This window comes from Homo sapiens, chromosome 7, assembly GCF_000001405.40.
Source record: "Homo sapiens chromosome 7, GRCh38.p14 Primary Assembly".
Lineage (NCBI taxonomy): Eukaryota > Metazoa > Chordata > Mammalia > Primates > Hominidae > Homo > Homo sapiens.
The window spans coordinates 61,094,140-61,107,285 of record NC_000007.14 but is presented as its reverse complement, the minus strand read 5'-3'; the positions used below and the strand labels follow the sequence as shown (position 1 = coordinate 61,107,285).

The 13,146-nt window shown below is 36.0% G+C and overlaps 5 annotated features.

Moving 5' to 3' along the window:
• Positions 4,456–5,050: an enhancer, noted in NCBI's record as "OCT4-NANOG hESC enhancer chr7:61084961-61085555 (GRCh37/hg19 assembly coordinates)". NCBI's record gives its function as "activates a minimal SCP1, AML or CMV promoter by ChIP-STARR-seq in primed H9 embryonic stem cells {active_cell/tissue: H9 hESC(primed)}" and the evidence as "EXISTENCE:reporter gene assay evidence [ECO:0000049][PMID:30033119]".
• Positions 5,354–6,118: an enhancer, noted in NCBI's record as "OCT4-NANOG-H3K27ac hESC enhancer chr7:61083893-61084657 (GRCh37/hg19 assembly coordinates)". NCBI's record gives its function as "activates a minimal SCP1, AML or CMV promoter by ChIP-STARR-seq in primed H9 embryonic stem cells {active_cell/tissue: H9 hESC(primed)}" and the evidence as "EXISTENCE:reporter gene assay evidence [ECO:0000049][PMID:30033119]".
• Positions 6,119–6,885: an enhancer, noted in NCBI's record as "OCT4-NANOG-H3K27ac hESC enhancer chr7:61083126-61083892 (GRCh37/hg19 assembly coordinates)". NCBI's record gives its function as "activates a minimal SCP1, AML or CMV promoter by ChIP-STARR-seq in primed H9 embryonic stem cells {active_cell/tissue: H9 hESC(primed)}" and the evidence as "EXISTENCE:reporter gene assay evidence [ECO:0000049][PMID:30033119]".
• Positions 9,023–9,726: an enhancer, noted in NCBI's record as "OCT4-NANOG-H3K27ac hESC enhancer chr7:61080285-61080988 (GRCh37/hg19 assembly coordinates)". NCBI's record gives its function as "activates a minimal SCP1, AML or CMV promoter by ChIP-STARR-seq in primed H9 embryonic stem cells {active_cell/tissue: H9 hESC(primed)}" and the evidence as "EXISTENCE:reporter gene assay evidence [ECO:0000049][PMID:30033119]".
• Positions 9,727–10,429: an enhancer, noted in NCBI's record as "OCT4-NANOG-H3K27ac hESC enhancer chr7:61079582-61080284 (GRCh37/hg19 assembly coordinates)". NCBI's record gives its function as "activates a minimal SCP1, AML or CMV promoter by ChIP-STARR-seq in primed H9 embryonic stem cells {active_cell/tissue: H9 hESC(primed)}" and the evidence as "EXISTENCE:reporter gene assay evidence [ECO:0000049][PMID:30033119]".

Here is a 13,146-nt window from a genome sequence, read left to right as displayed (position 1 = left end):
CACTCTGTGAATTGAATGCAAACATTACAGAGAAGTTTTCGAGAATACTTCTGTCCAGTTTTTATGTGAAGATATTTCCTCTTCTTCCATTGGCCACAAAGCTTTCCAAATGTCCACTTACTGATTCTACAAAAAGATCTTTTCAAAACTGCTCTATCAAAAGAAAGGTTCAACTCTGTGAGTTGAATGCACACATCACAAAGAAGTTTCTGAGAATGCTTCTGTCTTGCTTATATGTGAAGATATTCCCGTTTACAGTGAAGGTCTCCAGGCAGTCCAAATATCCACTTGCAGATTCTACAAAAAGAGTGTTTCAGAACTCCTCTATGAAGAGGTATGTTCAACTCTGTGAGGTGAATGCACACATCATAAAGTAGTTTCTGAGAATGCTTCCCTCTGGTTTTCATGTGAAGATATTTCCTTTTCCACCATAGGCCACAAAGCTCTCTTAATTTCCAATTTCAGATACTACAAAAAGAGTGTTTCAAAACTGCTCTACCAAAAGAAAGTTTCAAATCTGTGAGTTGAATGCACACTTCACAAATAAGTTTCTGAGAATGCTTCTGTCTACTTTTTATGTGAAGATATTCTCGTTTCCTAAGAAGGCCTCAAGGCAGTCTCAATATCCACTTGCAGATTCTCCAAAAAGAGTGTTTCAAAAGTGCTCTAAGAAAAAGTATGTTCAACTCTGTGAGTTGAATGCACACGTCTCAAAGAAGTTTCTGAGAATGCTTCTGTCTAGTTTTTATGTGAAGATATTTCCTTTTCCACCACTGGCCTCAAATCCCTCCAAATGTGCACTTGCAGATTCTTCAAAAACAGTGTTTAAAAACTGTTCTATCAAAAGAAAGGTTCAATTCTGTGAGCTGAATGTACACATCACAAAATATTTCTGAGAATTCTTCTGTCTAGCTTATATGTGAAGATATTCCCGTTTCCAACGAAGGCCTCAAAGCAGTCGAAATATCCACTTGCAGATTCTACGAAAAGAGTGTTTCTGTATGACTCTATGAACAGGTATGTTCAATGCTTTCAGTTGAATGCAAACATCACAAAGAAATTTCTGAGAATGCTTCTGTCTGGTTTTTGTGTGAAGATATTTCCTTTTCCTCCATAGGCCTCAAACCACTACAAATGTTCACTGGCAGATTCTACAAAAACAGTGTTTCAAAACTGTTCTATCAAAAGAAAGGTTCAGCTCTGTGGGTTTAATGGAAACGTCCCAAAGAAGTTTCTGAGAATGCTTCTGTCTAGTTTTTATGTGAAAATATTTCGTTTTACAGCATAGCCTTCTAACCCACCATAAATTCACTAAGAGATTCTACAAAAAGAGTGTCTCAAAACTGCTCTATGAAAAGAAAGGTTCAAATCTGAGTTGAATGCACTCGTCACAAAGAAGTTTCTGATAATTCTTCTGTCTAGATTTTATGTGAAGATATTTCCTTTTCCACCATAGGCTTCAAAGCTCTCCAAATGTCCACTCGCAGATTTTACCAAAAGAGTGTTTCACAACTGTTCGTTCAAAGGAAAGTTTCACCTCTGTGAGTTGAATGCAGACATCACAAAGAAGTTTCTGAGAATGCTTCTGTCTAGATTTTATGTGAAGATATTTCCTTTTCCACCACAGGCCTAAAAGCTTTCCAAATGTCCACTTGCAGATTGTACAAAAAGAGTGTTTCAAAACTGCTCTATCAAAAGAAAGGTTCAACTCTGTGAGTTGAATGCACACATCCCAAAGAAGTTTCTGAGAATGCTTCTGTCTAGCTTGTATATGAAGATATTCCCGTTTCCAGTGAAAGACTCCATGCAGTCCAAATATTCTGCAAATTCTACAGAAAGAGTGTTTCAGAACTCCTCTATGAACAGGTATATTCAACTCTATGAGCTGAATGCAAACATCACAAAGTAGTTTCTGAGAATGCTTCTGTCAGGTTTTTATGTGAAGATATTTCCTTTTCCACCATAGGCCTCAAAGCTTTCCTAAAGTCCAATTCCAGATTCTACAAAAAGAGTGTTTCAAAACTTTTCTATCAAAAGAAAGGTTCAACTCTGTGAGTTGAATACACACATCACAAAGAAGTTTCTGAGAATGCTTCTGTCTACTTTTTATGTGAAGATATCCCCGTTTCCAAGGAAGGCCTCAAGCAGTCCCAATATCCACTTGCAGATATTAAGGAAACAGTGTTTTAAAACTGCTCTCAGAAAAGGTATGTTCAACTACGTGAGTTGAATGCACACATCACAAAGAGGTTTCTGATTTGTTTGTATCCTCTTTTATTTCTTTGAGCAGTGGTTTGTAGTTCTCCTTGAAGAGGTCCTTCACATCCCTTGTAAGTTGGATTCCTAGGTATTTTATTCTCTTTGAAGCAATTGTGAATGAGAGTTCACTCATGATTTGGCTCTCTGTTTGTCTGTTTTTGGTGTATAAGAATGCTTGTGATTTTTGCACCCATAGGAAGAATCAATATCGTGAAAATGGCCATACAGCCCAAGGTAATTTACAGATTCAATGCTATCCCCATCAAGCTACCAATGACTTTCTTCACAGAATTGGAAAAAACTACTTTAAAGTTCATATGGAACCAAAAAAGAGCCCGCATCACCAAGTCAATTCTAAGCCAAAAGAACAAAGCTGGAGGCATCACGCTACCTGACTTCAAACTATACTACAAGGCTACAGTAACCAAAACAGCATGGTACTGGTACCAAAACAGAGACATAGATCAATGGAACAGAACAGAGCCCTCAGAAATAATGCCACATATATACAACTATCTGATCTTTGACAAACCTGAGAAAAACAAGCAATGGGGAAAGGATTCCCTATTTAATAAATGGTGCTGGGAAAACTGGCTAGCCATATGTAGAAAGCTGAAACTGGATCCCTTACTTACACCTTATACAAAAATCAATTCAAGATGGATTAAAGATTTAAACATTAGACCTAAAACCATAAAAACCCTAGAAGAAAACCTAGGCATTACCATTCAGGACATAGGCATGGGCAAGGACTTCATGTCCAAAACACCAAAAGCAATGGCAACAAAAGACAAAATTGACAAATGGGATCTAATTAAAATAAAGAGCTTCTGCACAGCAAAAGAAACTACCATCAGAGTGAACAGGCAACCTACAGAATGGCAGAAAATTTTCGCAACCTACTCATCTGACAAAGGGCTAATATCCAGAATCTACAATGAACTCAAACAAATTTACAAGAAAAAAACAAACAACCCCATCAAAAAGTGGGTGAAGGATATGAACAGACACTTCTCAAAAGAACACATTTATGCAGCCAAAAAACACATGAAAACAATGCTCGTCATCACTGGCCATCAGAGAAATGCAAATCAAAACCACTATGAGATACCATCTCACACCAGTTAGAATGGCGATCATTAAAAAGTCAGGAAACAACAGGTGCTGGAGAGGATGTGGAGAAATAGGAACACTTTTACACTGCTGGTGGGACTGTAAACTAGTTCAACCATTGTGGAAGTCAGTGTGGCGATTCCTCAGGGATCTAGAACTAGAAATACCATTTGACCCAGCCATCCCATTACTGGGTATATACCCAAAGGACTATAAATCATGCTGCTATAAAGACACAGGCACACATATGTTTATTGCAGCATTATTCACAATGGCAAAGACTTGGAACCAACCCAAATGTCCAACAATGATAGACTGGATTAAGAAAATGTGGCACATATACACCATGGAATACTATGCAGCCATAAAAAATGATGAGTTCACGTCCTTTGTAGGGACATGGATGAAATTGGAAATCATCATTCTCAGTAAACTATTGCAAGAACAAAAAACCAAACACCGTATATTCTCACTCATAGGTGGGTATTGAACAATGAGATCACATGGACACAGGAAGGGGAATATCACACTCTGGGGACTGTGGTGGGGTGGGGGGAGGGGGGAGGGATTGCATTGGGAGATATACCTAATGCTAGATGACGAGTTAGTGGGTGCAGCGCACCAGCACGGCACATGTATACATGTGTAACTAACCTGCACAATGTGCACATGTACCCTAAAACTTAAAGCATAATAATAAAAAAAAATAAAATAAAATGAAATAAAATAAAACAAAGAGGTTTCTGACAAGGCTTCTGTCTAGTTTTTATGTGAAGATATTTCGTTTTCCAACACAGGCCTGAAAGCTCTCCAAATGTCCACTTGCAGATTCTACAAAAAGATTGTTTAAAAACTGTTCTATCAAAAGAAAGGTTAAACTCTGTGAGTTGACTGTACACATCACAAAGAAGTTTCTGAGAATTCTTCTGTCTAGCTTATATGTGAAGATATTCCCGTTTCTAATGAAGGCCTCAAAGCAGTCTAAATATCCACTTGCAAATTCTACGAAAAGAGTGTTTCAGTACTGCTCTATGAAGAGATATGTTCAACTCTGTGAGTTGAATGCAAACATCACAAAGAATTTACCTAGAATGCTTCTGTCTAGTTTTTATGTGAAGATACTCCCGTTTCCAATAAAAGCCTCAAAGCTATACAAATATCCACTTGCAGATTCTACAAAAAGAGTGTTTCAAAACTGCTATAAAAAAAGAAAGGTTCAAATCTGTGAGTTGAGTACACACATCACAAAGAAGTTTCTGAGAATGATTCTGCCTAGTTTTTATGGGAAGATATTTCCTTTTTCACCACAGGCCTCAAAGCGCTCCAAATGTTCACTTCCAGATACTACAAAAAGAGTGTTTCAAAACTGCTCTATGAAAGGGAATGTTCAACTCTGTGAGCTGAATGCAAACATCACAAAGAAGTTTCTGAGAATGTTTCAGCCTACTTTTTATATGAAGATATTCCCGTTTCCAACGAAATCCTCAAAGCAATCCAAAATCCCCTTGCAGATTCTACAAAAAGAGTGTTTCAAAACTGTTCCATGAGAAGAAAAGTTCTACTCTGTGAGTTGAGTACACACATCACAAAGAAGTTTCTGAGAATTCTTCTGTCTAGTTTTTATGGGACGATATTTCGTTTTTCACCAAAGACCTGAAAGTGCTCCAAGTTTCCACTTACAGATTCTACAAAAAGAGTATTTCAAAACTGCTCTATGAAAAGAATGTTCTACTCTGTGAGTTGAATGCAAGCATCAGAAAGAAGTTTCTGAGAATGCTGCTGTCTAGTTTTTTTGTGAATATATACCCGTTTCCAGCGAAGGCCTCAAAGCTGTTCAAATATCCACTTGGAAATTCTACAAAAAGAAGGTTTCCAATCTGCTCCATCAAAAGAAAGTTTCAACTCTGTGAATTGAATGCACACATCACCGAGAAGTTTGTGAGAATGCTTCTGTCTAGTTTTATGCGAAGATATTACCGTTTCCAAGGAAATCCTCAATGCTGTCTTAATATCCACTTGTAAATTCTACAATAAGAGTGTTTCAAAACTGCTGTATCAAAGGAAAGGTTTAACTATGTGAGTTGAGTACACACACCACAAATTAGTTTCTGAGAATGCTTCCGTCTACTTTTTATGTGAAGATATTTCCTTTTTCACCATAGGTCTCAAATCGCTCCAAATGTCCACTTGCAGATTCTACAAAAAGAGTGTTTCAAAACTGCTCTATGAAAAGGAATGTTCAACTCTGTGAGTTGAATGAAAATATCACAAAGAAGTTTCTGAGAATGCTTCTGTCTAGTTTTTATGTGAAGATATTCCCGTTTCCAACGAAAGCCTCAAAGCTATATAAATATCCACTTGCAGATTCTACAAAAGAGTGTTTAAAAACTGCTGTTTCTAAAGAAAGGATCAACTCTGTGAGTTGAGTACACATATCACAAAGAAGTTTCTGAGAGTGCTTCTGTCTAGTTTTTTTGTGAATATATACCCGTTTTCAGTGAAGGCCTCAAAGCTGTCCAAATGTCCACTTGCAAATTCTACAAAAAGAGTGTTTCAAAACTGCTCTAAGAAAATGAGTGTTCAACTCGGTGAGTTGAAAGCAAACATCACAAAGGATTTTCTGAGAGTGCTTCTGTCTAGTTTTTATGTGAAGATATTGCCGTTTCCAACGAAAGCCTCAAAGCTATCAAAATATCCACTTCCAGATTGTACAAAAAGAGTGTTTCAAAACTGCTGTACCAAAAGAATGGTTCAACTCTGTGAGTTGAGTACACACATCACAAACAAGTTTCTGAGAATGCTTCTGTCTAGTTTTTATGTGAAGATATTTCCTTTTTCACCATAGGCCTCAAAGCGCTACAAATATCCACTTCCAGATACTTCAAAAAGAGTGTTTCAAAACTGCTCTATGGAAGGGAATGTTCAATTCTGTGATTTGAATGCAAACATCACAAAGAAGTTTCTGAGAATGCTTCTGTCTAGTTTTTATGTGAAGGTATTCCCGTTTCCAAAGAAATCCTCAAAGCTATCCAAATATGCACTTGCAGACCCTACAAAAAGAGTGTTTCAAAACTGCTCTATGAAAGGGAATGTTCAACTCTGTGAGTTGAATGCAAACATCACAAAGAAGTTTCTGAGAATGCTTCTGTCTAGTTTTTATGTGAAGGTATTCCCGTTTCCAAAGAAATCCTCAAAGCTATCCAAATATCCACTTGCAGACTCTACAAAAAGAGTGTTTCAAAACTGCTCTATCAAAAGAAAAGTTCAAATCAGTGAGTTGAGTACACAGTTCACAAAGAAGTTTCTGAGAATTCTTCTGTCTAGTTTTTAAGGGGAGATATTTCCTTTTTCACCAAAGGCCTCAAAGCGCTCCAAGTTTCCACTTACAGATTCTACAAAAAGAGTGTTTCAAAAGTGCTCTGTGAAAAGGAATGTTCAACTCTGTGAGTTGAATGCAAGCATCACAAAGTAGTTTCTGAGAATGCTTCTGTCTATTTTTTTTGTGAATATATACCGGTTTCCAGCGAGGCTTCAAAGCTGTCCAAATATCCCCTTGTAAATTCTACAAAGAGAGGGTTTCTAATCTGCTCTTTCAAAAGAAAGTTTCAACGCTGTGAGTTGAATGCACACATCACATAGAACTTTCTGAGAATGCTTTTGTCTAGTTTTATGTTAAGATAGTCCAGTTTCCAACGAAAACCCCAATGCTGTCCAAATATCCGCCTGTAAATTCTACAAGAAGAGTGTTTCAAAACTGCTGTATCAAAGGGAAGGTTTAACTCTGTGAATTGAGTACACACATCGCAAAGTAGTTTCTGAGAATGCTTCTGTCTACTTTTATGTGAAGATATTTCCTTTTTCACCATAGGTCTCAAATGCTCCAAATGTCCACTTGCAGATTCTACAAAAAGAGTGTTTCAAAACTGCTCTATGAAAAGGAATGTTCACCTCTGTGATTTGAATGCAAGCATCTCAAAGAAGTTTCAGAGAATGCTTCTGTCTAGTTTTTATGTGAAGATTTTCACGTTTCCAAAGAAAACCTCAAATCTATCCAAATATCCACTTGCAGATTCTACAAAAAGAGTGTTTCAAAACTGCTGTAATGAGACAAAGGTTCAAATATGTGCATAGAGTACACACATCACTAAGAAGTTTCTGACAATGCTTCTGTCTAGTTTTTATGTGAACATATTTCCTTTTTCACCGTAGACCTCAAAGTGCTCCAAATGTCCAATTCCGGATACTACAAAAAATGTGTTTCAAAGTGCTCTATGAAAGAGAATGTTCAACTCTGTGAGTTGAATGCAAACATAACAAAGAAGTTTCTTAGAATGCTTCTCTCTAGTTTTTACGTGAAGATATTCCCGTTTCCAACGAAATCCTCAAAGCTATCCAAATATCCACTTGCATATTCTACAAAACAGTGTTTCAAAACTGCTGTATCAAAAGAAAGGATCAACTCTGTGAGTTGAGTACACCATCACAAAGAAGTTTCTGATAATGCCTCTGTCTAGTTTTTATGTGAAGATATTTCCTTTTTCACCATAGGCCTCAAAGGGCTCCAAATATGCTTTTCCATATACTACAAAAAGAGTGTTTCAAAACGGCTCTATGAAAGGGAATGTTCAACTCTGTGAGTTGAATGCAAGCATCACAAAAAATTTTCTGAGAATCCTTCTGTCTAGTTTTTATGTGAAGATATTCCCATTTCCAACGAAATCCTCAATCCTGTCCTAATATCCCCATGTAAATTCTACAAGAAGTGTATTCCAAAACTGCTGTATCAAAGGAAAGATTTAACTCTTTGAGTTGAGTACACTCATGACAAAGTAGTTTCTGAGAATGCTTCTTTCTACTTTTTATGTAAAGATATTTCTTTTTCACCAAAGGCCACAAAATGCTCCAAGTTTCCACCTACAGATTCTTCAAAAAGAGTGTTTCAAAACTGTTCTATGTAAAGGAATGTTCTCCTCTGTGAGTTGAATGCAAGCATCACAAAGATGTTTCTGAGAATGCTTCCGTCTAGTTTCTTTGTGAATATATACCCGTTCCCACCGTAGGCCTCAAAGTTGTCCAAATATCCACTTGCAAATATTACCAACAGAGGGTTTCCAATCTGCTCTGTCAAAAGAAAGTTTCAACTCTGTGAGTTGAATGCAAACATCAAAAGAAAGTTTCTGAGAATGCTTCTGTCTACTTTTATGTGAAGATATTCCCGTTTCCAATGAAAATCTCAATGCTGTCCAAATATCCGCTTGTAAATTCTACAAGAAGAGTGTTTCAAAACTGCTGTATCAAAGGAAAGGTTTAACTCTGAGTGGAGTACACACATAACAAAGTAGTTTCTGAGAATGCTTCTGTCTACCTTTTATGTGAAGATATTTCCTTTTTCACCATAGGTCCCAAATCACTCCAAATGTCCACTTGCAGATTCTATAAAAAGAGTGTTTCAAAACTGTGCTATGAATACAAATGTTCAACTCTGTGTGTTGAATGAAAACATCACAAAGAAGTTTCTGACAATGATTCTCTCTAGTTTTTATGTGAAGATATTCCCGATTCCAACGAAATCCTCAAAGCTATCCAAATATCCACTTTCAGACCCTACAAAAAGAGTGCTTCAAAACTGCTCTATCAAAGGAAAAGTTCAACTCTGTGAGTTGAATCCAAACATCACAAAGAAGTTTCTGAGAATGCTTCTCTCTAGTTTTTATGTGAAGACATTCCCGATTCCAATGAAATCCTCAAAGCTATCCAAATATCCACTTGCAGACTCTACAAAAAGAGTGTTTCAAAACTGCTCCATCAAAGGAAAAGTTCAACTCTGTGAGTGGAGTATACACATCACACAGAAGTTTCTGAGAATTCTTCTGTGTAGTTTTTATGGGAACATATTTCTTTTTCACCAGAGGCCTCAAAGCGCTAAAATTTCCACCAACAGATTCTTCAAAAAGTGTGTTACAAAACTGCTCTATTAAAAGGAATGTTCAACTCTGTGAGTTGAATGCAAACATCACAAAGACGTTTCTGAGAATGCTTCTGTCTAGTTTTTATGTGAAGATATTCCCGTTTCCAACGAAAGCCTCAAAGCTATCCAAATATCAACTTGCACGTTCTAAAAAAAGAGAGTTTCAAAATCGCTGTATCAAAAGAAATATTCAACTCTGTGAGTTGAGTACACACATCTCAAAGAAGTTTCTGAGAATGCTTCTGTCTAGTTTTTATGTGAAGATATTTCCTTTTTCACCATAGGACTCAAAACGGTCAAAATGTCCAATTCCAGATAGTACAAAAAGAGTGTTTCAAATCTGCCCTATGAAAGAGAATGTTCAAATCTGTGAGTTGTAAGCAAACATCATAAAGGTGTTCATGAGAATGCTTCTGTGTAGTTTTTATGTGAAGATATTCCCATTTGCAACGAAATCCTCAAATCTATCCAAATATCAACTTGCAGATTCTACAAAAAGAGTGTTTCAAAACTGCTTTATCAAAAGAAAGGTTCAACTCTGTGAGTTGAGTACACACATCACAAAGTAGTTTCTGAGAATGCTTCTGTCTACTTTTTATGTGAAGATATTTCGTTTTTCACCATAGGCCTCAAAGCACTCAAAATGTCCACTTCCAGATACTACAAAAGGAGTATTTCAAACGTGCCCTATGAAAGAGAATGTTCAAATCTGTGACTTGAATGTAAACAAAACAAAGTTGTTTCTGTGAATGCTTCTGTCTACTTTTTATATGAAGATATTCCCGTTTGAAACGAAATACTCAAAGCTATCAAAATATCCACTTGCAGATTCTACAAAAAGAGTGTTTCAAAACTGCTCTATCAAAAGAAAGGTTCAAATTTGTTAGTTGAGCACAACCATCACAAACAAGTTTCTGAGAATGCTTCTGTCTAGTTTTTATGGGAAGAGATTTCCTTTTTCACCATAGGCCTCAAAGTGCTCCAAATGTCCACTTCCAGACACTACAAAAGGAGTATTTCAAACCTGCTCTATGAAAGGAAATGTTCAATTCTGTGACGTGAAAGCAAACATCACAAAGAAATTGCGGAGAATGCTTCTGTCTACTTTTTATATAAAGATATTCCCTTTTCCAACGAAATCCTGCAAGCTATCCAAATATCCACGTGCAGATTCTACAAAAAGAGTGTTTCAAAACTGCTCTATCAAAAGACAGGTTCAACTCTGTTAGTTGAGCACACACATCACAAACAAGATTCTGAGAATGCTTCTGTCTAGTTTTTATGGGAAGAGATTTCCTTTTTCACCATAGACCTCAAAGCGCTCCAAATGTCAACTTCCAGATACTACAAAGGGAGTGTTTCAAACGTGCTCTATGAAAGAGAATGTTGAACTCTGTGACTTGAATGCAAACATCACAAAAAGTTTCTCAGAATGCTTCTGTCTACTTTTTATATGAAGATATTCCCGTTTCCAATGAAATCCTCAAATCTATCCAAATATCAACTTGCAGATTCTACAAAAAGAGTGTTTCAAAACTGCTCTAACAAAAGAAAGGTTCAATTCTGTTAGTTGAGTACACACATCATGAACAAGTTTCTGAGAATGCTTCTGTCTAGTTTTTATGGGAACAGATTTCCTTTTTATATAATTAAGAATTAATTCACATTAATTATTGGGGAGAAATAATTATTAAGAATTAATGACTGAGAAAATGTTTTTATTTTTTATTTAGAAAATTATTTTGTGCATGAGCATTACCGCAAGTTTTGCAAGAAACATAAATTTAAAGAAACAATTATGTGCACAAGATGAATTTAATAACATTGATATTTTCCACGATTAGCATTTTCTTTGGTAAATCTTTAAATGCACAGCATCAAAAGATAATAAATGAATCTTAGAAATCTTGTAGGTAAGGGTAAATATTAGGATGCATCCAGTTACATTTACACACACATACATGCATACAGACTGATACACGTGTGTATATATACATAAGAATTTATTAATTGATTGTAACTAATATTTATAAGAGCCAGTTGGATTGATATATATTGTTGAACCTGAAAAATATTTATTATATACATGTTTAAAATACACACAGAAATAAATAGTAATTGCACTAGGCATTTGAAACTGTACTAAAATATAAGCTGTGAATATTTTGTGATCATTACAAATTCTTACACTGAATAAATATTTTTATTTTTACAATATTAATATGTTTGACACCTGTGTACATTTTTTACAATGTGTTATTTTATTTTTGTCATAGAGTCATGTCATGCATAATAACAAGATACATAACCTCTTACCACTGTGTTCTTATTGCCTGCAGTATTCAGTACAGTAATGTAGTACACAGGTTTGTAACCTGGGAGAGAGAGACTACACCATATAACTTAGACGTGGTAGGCTGTACAATCTAGGTGTTTGTAATATTCTCTGTGATGTTTGCAAAATGATGAAATTGCCTATGGATACATCTGTTAGAATGTATCCCTATCATTCAGTGACGTGTGACTGTACTAAAATGCTCAAGGTAAGTTTCAATGCCCTCCATAAAATTGTTGTACTGTGAAATACAAATCTCTCACCCATGGCCTGAATATGTTTGCAAACTAAGCAGATCATGGGAAGGAGAATGTGCTGGCATCGCTGGGATGATTTTCTCACACTACCTGAATAATATCTACAGACTTCGTGAATATGAGCCACTTGCATAGAGTTAAAGTAGGCATCTCTTTGCTGGGAAATTTATCAAATGGGAGTAAGAAGTGTTTTTAAAAGATACTTGTTTGTTTGTAGCTGGTAGGCCTACAGTGGCTCATGCAATTGTTGAGGTTGCTAAGATTTGGTGGAAGAAGGCAAAATGAAATGGCCACTTATATGGTATATGGTATATGGATCGCTTTTTTCTGTTGAGTTACAGACTCAGCTGGCTATTTCTCCCAATGTTAGTTATTTGGAGAAAAAAAAACATGATGGTAATTTTGGGGTAACAAATACAATATTTGATGAAAGCATATTTATTGAGGGTTAGACAAACTACAAGATACTTTAGGCTGCAAAGTCAACACGAGACTTCTGGCCCAAATTGTGCAGAGTTTGCGTCCAGCTGCAAAGTTCAAAGGAAGAGGCCATATAAGACGATTCTCACTTCTGACACCAACTGCCAGTTCAGGGGTTTCCCCTGAACACCCTCAGTTTCTAGAATTTACTAGAAAGACTCACAGAACTCATTGAATGTCATTGTACTCATGGTTTATAATAGAGAAAGGGTAGAAATTAGGACCAATTGAAGAGACATATCATATAAGGTGGAATCTAGGAGATTTTGAATGTTAAGATTCCATTGTCTTCAGGACATATTACCTGTCACTGTTGTACAGCAATAAACATGGAGTACTACCAACCTGGGGAGCTCACCTGATGCTAAAAAGACACTATTTAGAAAATGAAAAGACAAATGAAAGGATGAGATAAGATGACCTTCCACATTAAGGCACTGGAAAGAATAGCAAACTAAACCTAAAGCAAGCAGAAGGAAGAAAATAAAAATTAGAGAAATTAATAATTTATAATAATAATATTTGTTAGTGTTGAATAATTGATATTAATTCTTGACTAGCTTTTTTAAAAGAGAGAAATATTCACTTCCCAATTTATTCTGTGGGGCCAGTGTTACCTTGATACAAAAATTAGTCCAAATAGCATAGAAAAATAAAACTACTATAAGTATAAATGCAAAATTCCTTAAAAAATACTAAAAAGTCAGATTTAGCAACATATGAAAGAATTATAC